Source organism: Homo sapiens, chromosome 2, assembly GCF_000001405.40.
Source record: "Homo sapiens chromosome 2, GRCh38.p14 Primary Assembly".
NCBI lineage: Eukaryota > Metazoa > Chordata > Mammalia > Primates > Hominidae > Homo > Homo sapiens.
In genome coordinates, this window is record NC_000002.12 from 153031174 (window position 1) to 153048196 (window position 17023).

A 17023-nucleotide genomic window follows, 5' to 3' on the forward strand; every position below is an offset into this window, starting at 1 on the left:
AGAATTGGAACCCTTGGTCACTGTTAATTGGCATATAAAATGTTACAATGTTACAGCCACTGTAGAAAATAGTATGTCATTTTTAAATAAAAAAACTAAAAATAGATTTACTATATAATCCAGCAATTCTACTTCTAAGAGTATACCCCAAATTATTGAAATAGGGTCTCAAAGAGATATTTGTACACCCATGTTAATAGCAGCATTATTCATAATAGCTAAATTATGAAAGCAACCCAAAAGTGTTACTTTCATCAAGAAATGAATGGATAAGCAAAATGTATACATATACAATGCAATATTGTTTAAACCTTAAAAAGGAAGGACATTCTGTCATGTGCTATAACATGGATGGACCTTGAGAACATTATGCTAAGTGAAATAAGCCAGTCACAAAAAGACTGGGGTGTAAATCATAGAGTCAGAAATCCTAGAAACAGAAAGGTGAATGGTGGTTGCTGGACAGTGGGGAGAGGGTAAGGTAAAGAGAAGATATTGTTTTATGGCTATATAGTTTCCATTTTGCAAGATGAAGAGTTCTAGAGATAGACCATGGTGATGGTTATACAATAATATAAATGTAATACCACTGCACTTTATACTTAAAATGGATAAGGTAAATTTTATTTACATGTATTTTGCCACAATAAAATAATTGGAAAAAAAGGTGATCATCTAGCAGTCTAAGTTGGTTCTAAACTTCTTTTAAGCACTCTTTCCACCATATCATTTCTTTTGTTGGGGATTTATTTCCCAGTTGAGCTTTGTTGGAAATGAACTTAATTTATAATCTGACAAGTTCAAGAAAATAGCATTTTATGTTTTGAATTTCTTTCAAATTTGAATGCAATGTAAATTTATTCTTCTGATTTTTAGCTGGCTTGCACAATTAGTCTGAATTTGTGAAGTTTTATGATTCAGTTTACATTTTTTTCAGATAGCTTTGTGGAAGGTAATTATCTTCTGTTTGAAAACATGAGCTATGATATCATGATATATGAAATTTGACATTTATTAGTAACAGCTTTTGACATGGTTTTCATCATTGATTTTCTTTCCTCTCTTCCACTTGTTCTAGTTGTACTTTCTTCATTCCAGATGCACAGAAAAGAAATATTTTATTTATCTTTTATGACACATTGTGAACAATGGTGCTGGAAGAATGAACTTAGAATACAGGTGGTCAGGGGGCTGCAAGACGGCTGACTAGAGGCACTTGGCACTGGGCACTCACCTGCTTCACAAACAAGGACCAAAACAGCAAATAGATAACCACATGTTGAACAGAGCTTCTAAGAGAGAACACTAGCATACAGCAAGAAAGTGACAGGGAACCCCTGAGGTACAGAAGGAGAGGAAAGCAAGGCAGCCATACTGGCCAGGATTGACTTGGAGCCAGGAGAAATTCTCCATTATGAGGAAAATGTAAGTGAGAGATTCTCAGTGGTCTACATTCCCATCATGCACTCCTGCAATTCTAGCCACTTGATAAGCCCCTTAGCTCTTTTGGGCCCTGAGTTAGTACAGGGAGCTGCCTGGTGTCCAGATGACAGCACTGATCCAGAGAGGAAGTGTGTACTGGGTCCCATACATCCCCCGAGACTCAAGCAGCTGCAGCACAGTATAATTTTGTACTACTCTGGTGGGACTGGGCTCTCAAAATGATGAGATAGTACCTATACATCCACATTTCTGAAGCCTTGTTGATATCCCTGACATCAACCCAGAAGGCTGCAATATTGTGACACCAGCTGGACCCGGCAGTGGGAAGAGGGCCCCAGCATTCTAGCCCACTCAGTGTTCTACAGTTCAGGGAATAAGCAGTGCAGTGTACCAGGGAGGCTGCATCTGGGACAAAGAGAGGGTGTGCTGCTCGGAGCCAGAGAGCTGCCTGCCTGGAGCCGCTGCCGCTGACAGAAACCCCACCCCATTTGGCAGCAGGACCACTGTGCATCTGCACACACCTTTAAGTGGTCTGGGAACTAGAACAGTCTTGGGGCCTGAGGACAGGCCCATACGGACTGCCACTGCTAGTGCCCAAATATGTTTTTTGGCGGCCTGAAGACAGGCCCACCCAACCTGCCACTGATACCTGCATGCATCTCCAAGGGAACCAGGGACTGGTTTGCCCAGCCTTCCGCTGCTGCCACCACTGATACCCACTTGTGTTCACCAGCTTGACTGGGGACTAGCCTGCCTGGCCAACTGCTGCCTCTGCTGTCAGCCTTAGCATGAGGCTTGGGGCCTGAGGGTTGTCCTGTTGCCACTACTGCCATTGGTGATTCCACACATGCTGAGCAGGGACCCAAGGACCCATTGGCCTGGCCTACCAATGCCATTACTGGCACCCAAATAAGCTGTCTGGAGGCACAAGGACCAGCATGCTCAGATCTACCACTATTGGCATCCCTATTTGGCACCTGGAGGCCCAAAGATCAGCATGCCTGCCATACTGCCAAAAAATTGAAGAGGAGAGAATCTTTCTAAGCATACTAGGAGGCCAGCATTAACACTGGTAGCAAAAGCAGACAATGCTGTACATAAAAATAAAACTATAGGCCAGTATCTCTGATGAACATAGAAGCAAAAATCTCAACAAATGCAAACCAAATGCAACAACACATCAGAAAGATAATACACTGCGATCAAGTGAGATTTATCCCAGGAATGCAAGGATGGTACAACAGATGCAAATTAATACACATGATACATCACATCAACAGAACAAAGGATGAAATACATATGATCGTATCAATAGATACAGAAAAAGGAGTTGACAAAATTTAACATCTCTTCATGATAAAAACTCTCAATAATGTAGGAATTAAAGGAATATACCACAACATAATAAGGTTGATGTAAAACAAATCCACGGCTAACATCATGCTGAATGGAGAAAAGCTAAAAACTTTTCTTTTATGAATTAGGATAAGACAAAGATGCCCACTTTTACCACTCTTATTCAACATACTATTGGAAGTGCTAGTTAGAGCAATCAGGCAAAAGCTAGAAATAAAAGGCATACAAATCAGAAAGAGGAAGTCAAATTGTCTTTGTAGATGATGTGATATTATATTTAGAAAAGCTTAAAGCCTCTACCAAAAAAACTCTTTGAACTGGTAAATTCAGCAAAGTTGTGGGATACAATCAGCAAACAAAAATTAGTAGCATTTAACACACCAATAACAAACTAGCAGAAAAAGAAATCAAGAAAACAACATCTTTTGCAATAGCTACAAAAAATAATAAAAGACCTTGGAATAAATTTAACCAAGGAGGTGAAACACTTCTATAATGTAAACTGCAAAACAATAATGGAAGAAATTAAAGAGGACCCAAACAAATGGAAAGAAATCCCATGCTTATGGATTAGAATAATTAATATTGTTAAAATGACAATACTACCCAGAGCAATCTACAGATTCAATGCAGTACCCATCAAAATACCAATGATATTTTTCACAGAAGTAGAAAGAACAATCTTAAATTTTGTATGGAACCACGAAATACCCAAATAGCCAAACAACCCTGAGCCAAAACAAAATAAAAAACAACAACAACAACAACAAAAAACCCAAAGCTGAAGTTACCACACTACCTGACTTCAAGATATGCTGCAAAGTTATAGTAATCCTAAAGGCATGATATTGGTATGAAAACAGATACATATAGACCAGTAGAACAGGATAGAAAACCCAGAAATAAATTCACATATTTGCCGCCAACCAATTTTTGACAAGGTGCCAAGAATATACATTGGGGAAAAGGCAGTCTTTTCACTAAATGGTGCTAGAGAAACTGGGTATCTATATGCAGAAGAATGAAACTAGACCCCTATGTATTACCATATAAAAATCAAATCAAAGTGGATTAGAAACTTACACACAAGACCCAAAACATAAAATTATAGACAGAAACATTAGAGGAAATGCTCCCAGGTCATCTAGGCAAAGATTTTATGTCTAAGGCTTCACAAATATAGTCAGAAAAGACAAAAATATCCTAATGGGACTATATTAAGCTAAAAAGCTTCTACACAGCAAAGGAAATAAGCAACAGACTGAAGACACAATCTGTAAAATGACAGAAAATATTTACAAATTATCCATCTGACAAGTCACTGACATAAGGAACTCAACTCCACAGCAAAATTCGGCAATGCACATGTACTCCTCAATTTAAAATAAAAGTTACATAAAAAAAAGTCGACAAAGGATATGAATAATTTTCTTTTAAAAGAATACATACAAATGACCAAGAGTTATGTGAAAAAATATGCTCGCTATTACTAATCATCAGTGAAATGCAAATCAAAGCCACAATGAGATATCATCTCACCTCAGTTACAACGAGTATTATCAAAAAACCAAAAAATAACAAATGTTGGCCAGGATACAGAGAAAAGGAACTAAACAGTATGGAGGTTTCTCAAAAAACTAAAAATGGGACTGCCATACAAGCCAGCAACCCTACTCCTGGATATTTATGCAAAGGAAAGGAAAATAAAATTTTATTTTCTCTTTTTCTTCCACATTTTCATTTTCTACCAAATCAAAGAAATTACATTTACCTTGTATGTTCTGTATCTTCCTGCTTTTCTGCCATTCTTCATACTATTCCTTCAACCTGGAGTGCCCTTTCCCTCCTTTCTGTATAAACTCTTATCTTTCCAAATCTGACTCAAAGGGCAACTTCCTTAAAGCATTTTTCCTGATCTACTCCTGCTTTCCCACTTGCCAAAAGGAATTAATTTGTCCTTCCCTTATGCCTCCTCTGCTCTGTGCTATTAGTGCCAAGCAGATTTGCTAATAGCAAAGGTTATTATTAAGTCTACCGCCAGAAAGGCGTATCCATGTACTTATGCCCACTGCATCCTGGGCTACTGTTTAAGTCCACCAGTCACTGATTACCAGTTTGTCTAAGTCCAGTGAGACAGAAGATACTCACACACAGATTATGTAAAGCAAGTTAATTACTTATAGGTCAGCAGCAAGAGACAAAAAAAAAAAAAAACCACCTCAGATCCATTGTGAGCCAGTCTCCCAAGACTCAAGAAAGCTGCCATGGTGGATGGCATCTCGACTGCATATGCTGGACTTTGCACCACAGCTGAGGCATCCTGAAAGCCATCCTGCCTTGGTTATATACCTCAGAGGCCACATGACACAGTGGGCAAAGCTTTGAAGGACATCCTGTTGCAGATGAGAGAGGAGCAAAGTCTGAGCTGTCCCTGGCACTTACTCCCTAACTCAAGATGTTACCTTCTCTGGGAGGGACAGGAACAATGTCCAGGCTGTTTGAGGCAGTTCCTTCCCGATTTCAGGATATAATATTCCCAGCACATTCTATGGTTATTCTTGAGAACTATGAGCAAGAAAGGGGGAGATCTAGGTTGGTACAAGACCACCTGGAGAACTGTCCTGCAGATCTTTCCTCTATTAGGGGTTTTAAATTCATTGAAAGTATGACATTGGCTGATTTTTATTTATGTTCTATTTCTCAATATTCTTGGTATGATGATTTGAACATTAATAGTTTTTTCAAAATTACTTCAAAGAGGATGGATATGAAATCACCATTATAACCTACTAATTACATAGTTACCTTGAATACCTGAAAACCATAAGAGGATACTTGGGAATATTTTTTTTTATTGTGGTAAACAAACATGTAAAATAAAATTTACCCTGTTAACCATTTTTAAGTGTACAAGTGAGAACTCCTTTTTTTTCTTTTTGAGACAGAGTTTCGCTCTTGTTGCCCAGACTGGAGTGCAATGGCATGATCTCATCTAACCGCAACCTCTGCCTCCTGGGTTCAAGTGATTCTCCTGCCTCAGCCTCCTGAGAAGGTGGGATTACAGGTGCCCACCACCATGCTCAGCTAATTTTGTCTTTTTAGTAGAGATGGGGTTTCTCCATGTTGGTCAGCCTGGTCTCGAACTCCCAACTCAGGTGGTCCACCCACCTCAGCCTCCCAAAGTGCTGGGATTACAGGTGTGAGCCACCACACCCAGCCAAGTGTACAAGTCAGAACTCTTAAGTATATTCACAGTGTTGTGCAATTGAGCTCTATAACCTTTTCATCCTGTAACACTGAAACTCTTTATCCACTAAACTGCAGGTCCCCTCCTACCTCCCCCAGTCCTTAGCAACCAACTTTCTATTTTCTGTTTCTATGATTTTGACTAATTAAGGTATTTCATATGTGTGGAATTATACAGAATTTGTCATTTTGTGACTGGCTTATTTTGCTTAGTGTAATGACCTCGAGGTTCTTCCATGTTGTAGTATGTAACAGAATTTCCTTTTTTAAGGCTGCATATTTCATTGTGTATATATACCACTTTTTCTATATTCGTTCATCTGTCCGTGGACATTTCAGTTGTTTCCACCTTGTGTTTATTATGAATAATTCTGTGATGAACATGGATGTGCAAATATCTCTTCCAGGTCCTTCTCTGAATACTTTTAAATGTACGTACAGAAGTGAGATTGCTGGATTACATGGTAATTCTATTTTTAATTCTTTCGAGGAACCCTCACACTGTTTTCCACAATGGCTATATCATTTTACAATCTCAGCAACAGAGCATAAGGCTCCCAATATCTCCACTTTCTTGCCAACACTTGTTATTTTGTGTTCAACAGTGTCCAGCCTAATGACTGTGAGGCTATATCTCATTGCGGTTTTGATTTGTATTTCTTCTATTAGTAGTGATGTCAAACGCATTTTCATATGTTTCTTGGCCATTTGTATATCTCGTTTGAAGAATTGTCTATTCAAGTCCTTTGTACATTTAAAAATTGTTTGTTTTTCTTCTTGTTGCTTTGAAAAAGTTCACTATATATTCTATAAATGTTGACTTGTAACAATTTTTATATGTATATTAACCGCTTATTAGATAAACAATTTGCAAGTATTTTCTCCCCTTCTGTAGGTTGCCTTTTCACTCTGTTGACTGTTTTTTTTTGATGCATGGAAGTTTTTCTGTTTGATGTAGTCCTGTTTTTCTGTTTTTTCTTTTGTTGCATGTACTTTGGGTGTCATATTCAAGAAATTATTGCCAAATTCAAATGTCCTGATTCTTTCCCCCTAGGTTTTCTTCTAGGAGTTTTATAGTTTTTGGTCTTACCTTCAGGTCTTTAATCCATTTTGAGTTAATTTTTGTATATGGTATAAGGTAGAGGTCCAGCTTTATTCTTTTGCTTGTGGATATCTGGTTTTCCCAACACCTCTCACAACATTTTGAAGAGAGTGGTGTTTCCCCTTTGTGCAGCTTTGGCGTCCTTGTTGAAAATCATTTGGCCGTCTACGCAAGAGTTTATTTCTGGGCTCCCTATTCTGTTCCATTATTATATATATCTATGTCAGTACCTACTGTTTTGATTGCTGTTGCTTGCAGTGTGTTTTGAAATAAAAAAGTGTGAAGCTTCCAACTTCATTCTTCTTTCTTAGTTGTTTTGGCTATTTGAGATCCTATCAAAATTTGTATGAATTTTAGATTTTTTTTCTATTTTTGCAAAAATGCCATTGGGTTTGATGAGGATATATTGAATCTATAGATCATTTTAGGTAGTATGGACATTTAAAAAGTACTGTCTTCCAATTGGAGAGCATGGGATATCTTTCCATTTACTTCTGTCTTCTTTGATTTCTTTTAGCAATGTTTTGTGATGTTCAGTGTACAAGTTTTTCACTTCTCAGGTCAAATTTATTCCTAAGATTTGTATTCTTGATGCTATAATAAATAAAATTGTTTTCCTAATTTCCTTTTTCAATTGATTACTGTTTGTGTATGGAAATGCAACTGATTTTTATGGATTTATTTTCTATCCTGAGATTTTGATGAAATTATTTATTAGTTGTGACAGTTTGTGTATGTGTGTATATGTGTAATCTTTGGGGGTTTCTAAATGCAGTTAGCCCTCTGTATTGTGGGTTTTGCATACATGAATTCAACCAAACACAGATTGAACCCTGTGGATACGAAGGGCCAACTGTACGATGCTATTTTACATAAGCTGCTTACATAAGCACCTATGGATTTTGGTATCCATGGGGGATCCTAAAACCAATTCCTCATGGATACAGAGAGTCAACTGTATAAGATCATGTTATCTGAAAACAGGGATAATTTTACTTCTTTCCTAATTTGAATTCCTTTTATTTATTTTTCTTGCCTAATTGCTCTAGCTAAAACTTCTAGTACTATGTTGAATAGAAGTGATGAGAAATGGGCATCCTTTTCTTGTTCCTGATGTCAGACGAAAAGTTTTCAGTTTTTCACCATTGAGTATGATTTTAGCTGTGGGCTTTCCATACACATCTTTTATTGTGTTGAGGTAGTTTCCTTTTATTCCTAGTTTGGTGAGTGTTTTTATCGGGAAAGCTTGTTGAATTTTGCCAAATGCTTTTTCTGCATCAGTCGAGATGATTATCTATTTTTTGTCCTTCATTTTGTTAATGTGATGTGTTAATTCATTTTACTGTGTTGAACCATCTTTGTATTTTAGGTGTAAATTTCACTTGATTTTGGTGTATCATCCTTTTAATATGCTGTTTATGCAGCATATTAAAAGTATTTTGTTGAGAATTTTTATATCAGTATTTTAATAGTTCGTTGAGAATTTTTGTATCAATATACATCAGGGATATTGGTCTGTAATTTTCTTTTCATATACTGTCTTTGTCTGGTCTTGGTATCAGAGTAATAATGCTGGCTTCCTAGAATAAGTTTGGAAGTGTTTCCTCCTCTTCAATTCTTTGGAAGAGTTTGATGAGGATTGATGTTAATTCTTCTTTAAATGTGTGGTGGAATTTTTTAGTAAAGCCATCTTGGCCTTTTTATTATTATTATTATTATTATTATTTTGGTTAGGAGGCTTTTAATTACATTTTCCATCTCCATAGTTGTTATAAATCTGTTCAGTTTTTTTATATTTCTTCATGACTCAGTTTTGGTAGGTTATAAGTTTATAGTACTCTCTTATAATCTTGTTTATTTCTGGGACATCAGTTGTAATGTTCCTTCTTTCATTTCTAATTTTAGTTATTTGATTATTCTCTCTTTTTTTCTTAGTCTAGCTAAGGGTTTGTCAATTTTTTTTTATCTGAGAATATTTTTGACTGTCTATTCCACATGGCAAAGGAGAACATTCTACAGGAGTGGGAATAGTTGAAACTATATATAGATTTGACACCCATATATGTAAGTACTAAATGATTGCTACTGCATGAATTTCTAAGATAGTCTTAAGACTATGGTAGCATAGAATTTCTGAAAAATTTTTGAGAGAGAATACAATTGTTTAAAGCAATTGCCAATGTTTTTAATGGAGAAGAATATATGTACATATAGTTTATAAAAGACCAGTTAAATTCTGTGTTCCTATTGGGATATATTTTATAGATTAATGACATACTGGTAGTATATTCCTCTGATAGGAATTTTCAGTGAGAGGCATTCACATCTTTGCATTTTGAAGTTTATATAAGAATTCATTTTCATCATTCTTTCTCTCTCAGTGAAACTCTATTAGAAAATCATTATTTTTCTATGCAATGTCTCTCTTGGTTATATTTGCATTAGGCAATTACCTGTTTGAATTTCGTTATTCTTACTGTTTAGAATTTTCATTAAAATTAGAAATATTTCTGCTTAAAGAACAGTAGTTATTTTCTGAGGATAGAGGCTTAAATTTTTTATACAAATTCTCAAATGCCTGTAGAACAAATAGTGACCTAGGCAATTGGGATGTTTTTGTGTGAGTAAGAATATCTGCTGCATTTCTGGATGGATTGCCTTGTAGGGATCATGGTGGCCATAGCTTGTCTTGTGAATAAAGATTTTTCTAGAATATATTAAACACTTTGTCTCATAGTGGAAAAGGAAAAATCCTGGACTTGGAAAAAGAAGGCCCTTCCAACTATGGACTGTCCAGGTAAAATCCTTTATAATTCTATCTAGTTTTTCACTAAATCATTATACTTGTAATATTATGGTATTATCAACATTTTAAATATAATGGTTAAGGTTAATATTGAAATACAAACTTATTGCACAAATTTTTTTCTCATGATCCTTTCTTTAAAAATATAACCTCAATCTATCAACATTATAGTAACCTATTATAACTATCACAGTTAAAAAGAGAGATTTTTAATTACTCATCCAGAGTACAGCCCCTTGGGTTACCCACTTTCTCTCCCTTCTTTAAGAAAATGTTATCTTTTTAATCTCAATCTATCAACATTCTACTAACCTACTATAACTATCAAAGTTAAGAGAGATTTTTAATTACTCATCAAGAGTACAGCCTTTCGGGTTACCCACTTCCTCTCCTTTCTTTAAGAAAATGTTATCTTTTGCTTAAAACTTTAAAAGTTAAGAATGTAGTTTCTACCACTAACCCAGAAGTTTTTAAATTAGTTTTTCTACAATGGACTGAAGATACCCTAGGGAAGCTAAACATTCCCATTATTCAGTCAATATGGTAGAATGTGCCAGGGAAGCAGGTGCCTCAGTCATTTTATCTCTCCTAGAGTCTGGGAAACTCACTCAACTGTGTAGCCAAACTGGAATGAAGGCATGCTGTACTGATCTCTGAAAACTGGAGAAAACCAGTTAAGAAAGATCACCCTCCAGGTTCTCCCCACTGTCACTCCATTCTGTTTGATTTCTTGGGCTATGATTAAGACAGAGTTAGGAACTACCCACTATGAAGAGAAGCCATCCTTGGAACAATTTTCTGTGAGTATATGTTATGGTTTGAATGTGTCCCCGAAATTTCATGTTCTGGAAACTTGATCTCCAAATTCATATTTTGATGGTATTTGGAGGTGGAGCTTTAGAAGTTAATTAGGATTAAATAAAGCCATAAGATTGGGGTCCCTATGATGGAAATGGTAGTTTTATAAGAAGAGGAAGAGGCTGGGTGCAGTGGGTCATGCCTGTAATCCCAGCACTTTGGGAGGCTGAGGCAGGCAGATCACCAGAGGTCAGGAGTTCAAGACCAGCCTGGCCAATGTGGTGAAACCCCATCTCTACTAAAAATACAAAATTAGCTGGAAATGGTGGCATGCACCTGTGATCGCAGCTACTTGGGAGGCTGAGGCAGGAGAATCACTTGAACCTGGGAGGTAGAGGTTGCAGTGAGCCGAGATCATGCCATTGCACTCCAGCCTAGGCGAAAAGAGCAAAACTTTGTCTCAAAATGAAGAAACAAACAAACGAAAAACAAAAAAAAAAGAAGAGGAAGAAAGACCTGAGCATATACACTGTTGCTCTGTCATCATGTGATGCCCTCTATCATTTTATAACATAGCAAGAAAAACCCCACCAGATGCCAATGCCATGCTCTTGGACTTATCAGCCTCCAAAAACATGAGCTAAATAAACTTATTTTCTTCACAAATTACCCAGTCTGTGGTATTCTGTTATAGCAACAGAAAATGGAGTAAGATAGTATGTGTCCATACATGTACTTTTGTACGTAGACGAATGCCTTGGGAGGGTGAATCTTAAATTGTGGATGCTGGAAAGTGCCATTTTGGAGAGTTGTAAGCAACTTCTCCCAACTATAATAGAAACTTTGTGTTTATGGAAAACTTCTTTTCTATGAGTTGGGCCAATTTCCTACATCTAAATACTAGATATATTCTCAGGTAAGCCTAGAGAGCTGGTCCAAACACTGATGCTTGAATTTGAAATGTTAAATCCTCTTTTTAGTAATATCAATTCAGATTATTTTTAGCAGAACTGGAGTGCAGGCTACACGTTGTGGATAGGGTGAGGATTTTCTCCAAATAATTGGACATCGTCACCAAACAGGCCTCGATCTAGGTGAAAGAAAGAGCTTATTTTTTTTTTATTATTATTTTTTCCTCAGGATTAAAGGGGAAGAATTTGGGCTCAAGGTAGGGGTACACTTGGAGATTCTCATTTGTGGAAGCCATTCTGACCCCACATCTCCACCAGGATGAAATCTGAAATAGCTTTTTTAGTCATTCCAAGAATATGTGCCAGACAATGTGCTAGGTATAGGTGAAATGTTGAAGAATAAGAAGGAGAAGGAAGAGGAGGAAGAAGAGAAAGAGGTGGACACAGCTCCTCTTTATTAATCAAGTCACATAATTAAAATGTAAATTTCCAACTGTAATCAAGTGTTACCACATGACACCATGTGAATTTGGATAATTCGCCAAGTTAGGTAGCCTGAAGAATCCTTTTCTGAAAAAATGACAATTAAGCTGAGAACTAACACAGGAGAAAGAATTAGCTAGATGAAGCAGTGGGACAAGAACACTGTTGGAAGAGAGAATTAGACAGTAAGTACAAAAGCCCTGTGGTAGGAGGGAGCATAAAGAATATAAAAGATTGAGAGATGACTCATGTGGTTGGCATGGAGAGAGAGGATGGTATGTGTTCAGGCTTGTGAGGCATATGGGAGCCATACCTGGCAAGTCTTTATAAGTTTATAGGCTTCTTAAGGAATTTTATCTTTACCATTAGAGTAATTACAAGCTATAGCTTCTTTCTGTTTGATTGTTTTTTAACTTTAAGTTCTGGGATACATGTGCAGAACGTACAGGTTTGTTACATAGGTATATGTGTGCCATGGTGGTTTGCTGCACCTATTGACCCATCATTTAGATTATCTCCCCGTGCCCCCCACCTCCCAACAGGCCCTGGTGTGGATTGTTCCCCTCCCTGTATCCGTGTGTTCTAATTGTTCAACTCCCACTTATGAGTGAGAACATGTGGTGTTTGGTTTTCTGTTTCTGTGTTAGTTTGCTAAGTATGATGGCTTCCAGCTTCATCCATGTTCCTGCAAAGGACATGAACTCGTTCCTTTTTATGGAAGCATAGTATTACATGGTGTATATGTATCACATTTTCTTTATCCAGTCTATCATTGATGGGCATTTGGGTTGGTTCCATGTCTTTGCTATTGTAAATAGGCTGCAATAAACATACGTGTGCATGTGTCTTTATATTAGAATGATTTATATTCCTTTGGGTATATACCCCATAATGGGATTGCTGGGTCAAATGGTATTTCTGGTTCTAGATCCTTGAGGAATTTCCACACTGTCTTCCACAGTGGTTGAACTAATTTACATTCCCACCAACAGTGTAAAAGCATTCCTATTTCTCCACAGCCTTGCCAGCATCTATTGTTTCTTGACTTTTTGATAATCGTCATTCTGACTGGTGTGAAAAAGTATCTCATTGTGGTTTTGATTTGCATTTCTCTAATGATTAGTGATGTTGAGTTTTTTTTTCATATGTTTGTTGGCTGCATATATGTCTTCTTTTGAGAAGTATCTATTCCTATCCTTTGCCCACTTTTTGATAGGGTTGTTTGTTTTTTCCTTGTAAATTTGTATAAGTTCCTTATAGATTCTGGATGTTAGACCTTTGTCAGATGGGTAGATTTCAAAAATTTTCCTCCCATTTTGTAAGTTGCCTGTTCACTCTGATGATAGTTTCTTTCGCTGTGCAGAAGCTCTGTAGTTTAATAAGATCCCATTTGTCAATTTTGGCTTTTGTTGCAATTGCTTTTGGCATTTTCACTATGAGATCTTTGCCCATGCCTATGTTCTGAATGGTATTGCCTAGGTTTTCTTCTAGGGTTTTTATGGTTTTGGGTTTTACATTTAAGTCTTTAATCCATCTTGAGTCAATTTTTGTATAAGGTGTAAGGAAGGAATCCAGTTTCAGTTTTCTGCATATAGCTAGCCAGTTTTCCTAGCACCATTTATTGAATAGGAAATCTTTTCCCCATTGCTTGTTTTTGTCAGGTTTGTTGAAGATCAGATGGTGTAGATTTGCCATAGTTTTAAGAAGGGGTAGAGGGATGGGATTATCAGGTTTGAGTTTCAAAAGATTATTCTTTTCAGATTTTTATAGAATTTTGCATTTGGATTTAATTGCATTGGGAGAGTGGAGGAGCCTGTAATTCAGTCATACTGAGGCACAGATCCACCTTTAACACTCCATACCAGTAGTGGATTTGAGGAGGAAGTAAAAGTTCCTTGGAGAGTCCTAGATTTTCCTGAATGGAGAACCTGATGGAAGCATGGACTTCTGCAGAATGGGGGATCACATATGTTATCAACTGGCTGTTTAAAACAATGTAGCTTTATTTAGCACTCACAGGCCAGTCAGATCTGGAAAAATATGTTTACTATATATAACCAAATTGATATTATACTGGATGGTTGTTAATAAAACAATAAGAAAATTATTTCCTTTTACATATTAATATAGAGAACATTTCATTTTTATTACATATTTTTCTATAGCAGTTGCTTTGTGCAATAGCATTGCATGGATTTACTGTAATTTAATCAGTTGCTTGTTTGTGGATATTTGTATTATTTCTAAATTTTTAATCATTGTAAACAATGTTGTGAGATACAGTTATATCTATACACACATGCTGGATAGGTCCTTGAAACTGATAATTCTGGTTGTGAAGGACAGGAATGCCTGGGAGCATGTATATTTAAAAAGCTATTCTGTATAATGGCAAATGCTAACCATGTTTTTCTTACTAAAATGATCTCTCACCTCCAGGGTAACAGGGTTTGCCAACAGCAAACAGCAGTATTATATTCATTTCTGCCAATAATTTGATAAGTAAAATTTTGGATCTCATTTTAATGAGCATATCTTGAAATTTGAAAAAAAATTAAATCTGGAAGAAATCCTGGAGATACCTAATTTAACCAATTCATTTTACAAAGCCCATGGCACAGTTAGTGAGCTGCAGAACAGGGATCATGATCCAGTTCTCCTGGATATTATCCCACGACTCTTTCCATGGAAACAAACTTAGTAGGGGGTCCCTGCTGCAGTTCTCCAGCTGGAAGCATCAGAGCACAAGACTGTGGGAAGAGAGTACAGTTTTGTCCATTGAAAAACAATTAAGTTATTGATTGTAGCCTACAGAAGCAGTTAGTGAACCCAGCTTCCTGGAGATGCTTCTGCCCAGGAAGAAGGTCATGAAGAAGATATTACCCACAGAAGGACCTGGTTATCCTAGTACCAGAAGCTTCTCAGGAGAGGAGCTAAGAAACACTTACTTGGAGACCATCAAGCTTCCTGCTGTCCCAGCTTGAATCTTACTGGGGTCATCCCTTCTAGTTGGTAGACCTGAAGATGGGGATAGAAGGTATTTAACTGTCTGCTGGGTAGAGAGAATAACAATGGCGTATCAGTTTATTGGGCAGGCTGGAGTCCTATAAAATGTGGGAAGAAGCTTGAGGTGTATATAGCCAAAGATTCCAAATTATAATCTGACCCGAATTTTATTTTGTGAGGAATGCTGTGGGGGAAAAAGGCTATGTCTTCAGTTTCCTCTTGCCTGACTGTTTTGCGCATTGTTATATTTTGCAGGTTCAGTATCTTAAAGACTTTTTTTACATACCATGCCCCATTTGCCTTACATTATATATAATATTACATTATATTTAAATTAATGTATTACTGTAATATATTAATGTGTATATATGCACACACACGTATATGTATGTATGTATGTATATATCGCCCCCTTGGCCTTGACTTTCTCAGTGTATTCCGTCGGGACTTAAAACTACACACTTTTATCTCTTTTTTCTTGAGGGCTTTCTAAGTCCGAAACCAACTTTCTTTTCTATATAACATTTCAGCACAATTAACAGATGATGTTAATCTAAAACCAGGTGAGAAGAATCAAAACCAATAGGAGTGAGTCAGAGAAATCATGAGGACATTTTTTCTGCCTGCAGAATAAAGCCGGGTGCTGGGGCTTGGCATCAGAGACTGTTGTCTGTCCCCAGCCTTTGTTTCCAGGCTCATTTACCCACTCCTCACTTCACAGAACCTTTGGTCTGGTTAGATCGATCTGCCATTGTCTTAGAATGCCTGGTTGTTCCTGCCTCTGGGACTTTGCCATTTTCCTTCAATGGAGTGCTGCTTTCCCACACTTATTAACCTACTTGAAATCTTTCCATTATATCAACTTTATTAACCACTGCCTGCACTTCTCTCTACTTCTTTTGAAACCACTCATTTACTATTCATACTATACTGAACTTCTGATACTTGTCTTTCAATGAACACATATTTTGCCTATAACTATAATTGTAAGCTACTTTGGTAAAGGATCGAGGTGCTGTGCTTCTGGAGGCTTTGTAAAGTGTCCACTTGACTCAGCCAAACTACATTTCCCATAATTCCCTCTCCTGCATGTTTCCAGTTAGTGGGCCACAGGAGAGAGACTTGTGTGAGATTTGGAGGGAGGAAGGAAGGCAGCAGCTGTTTTGTAGCTCATGTATTCTGTGGCTGAATTATTGGTGGACTCATCTTGTTGCTGTGAGGCACTGACTGGGCTGGAACTGTTCTAGCATGTCCTGCATCCTCCTTCAGGGGTGTGTGTGTGTGTTTAGCTGTGTAATGAAGGGACCTAACTTTTGAAGGACATCCGTATCACTAATGCCAGGGGCAAGAGGATTGACACAGGTTTCAGTATGCTTTGTACTTGGGAGTTCCAGCTTTATCTTGCTCTTTCCCACCATACACCCACCTTTAAGCTCTAGCATCAGATGTGAAGAAAACAGCCTTACAGGGACTGCTCAACTGGCCCCCACAATTGTGTAAGGTCAAGTCACTGTAACATTTCCCATTTAGAGGGAAGATGAGGTACATAATTAGCTTTACACACACACACACACACACACACACACACACATCCACCCACCCAAACATGTAAAATGGGTATTTATGTGTTTGTACACAGACCTTCATGAAGCCAATCTTCTTTTCTTTACAATATAGCATTTCATTACAATAAGTAATTAATAATGGGAGATTTAGAAATCATTACAGAAGAGGAGGTAAATTATGATAGAAATCAAGCAAAAAGAATCAGAACCAATGGAAGTAAAGAGATATATCATGATTTACCCAAACAAACTGAAAGAAACCCTAATAAGCAACAACAGCGTGGGAATATAAACAAAAATAAAACAA

The 17023-nt window shown here is 37.1% G+C and overlaps 1 long non-coding RNA gene across 2 annotated transcripts in view; it reads left to right on the forward strand.

Moving 5' to 3' along the window:
* LOC105373691 (uncharacterized) overlaps positions 1 to 7470 on the forward strand; it is a 79687-nt gene extending 72217 nt beyond the window's left edge. For both annotated transcript variants that reach the window (XR_007087268.1, XR_007087267.1), the window contains exon 4: positions 1079 to 7470. This is a non-coding gene — a long non-coding RNA (uncharacterized LOC105373691). The remainder of the gene's footprint in view (positions 1 to 1078) is intronic.
* The last annotated feature ends 9553 nt before the right edge of the window (positions 7471 to 17023 follow it).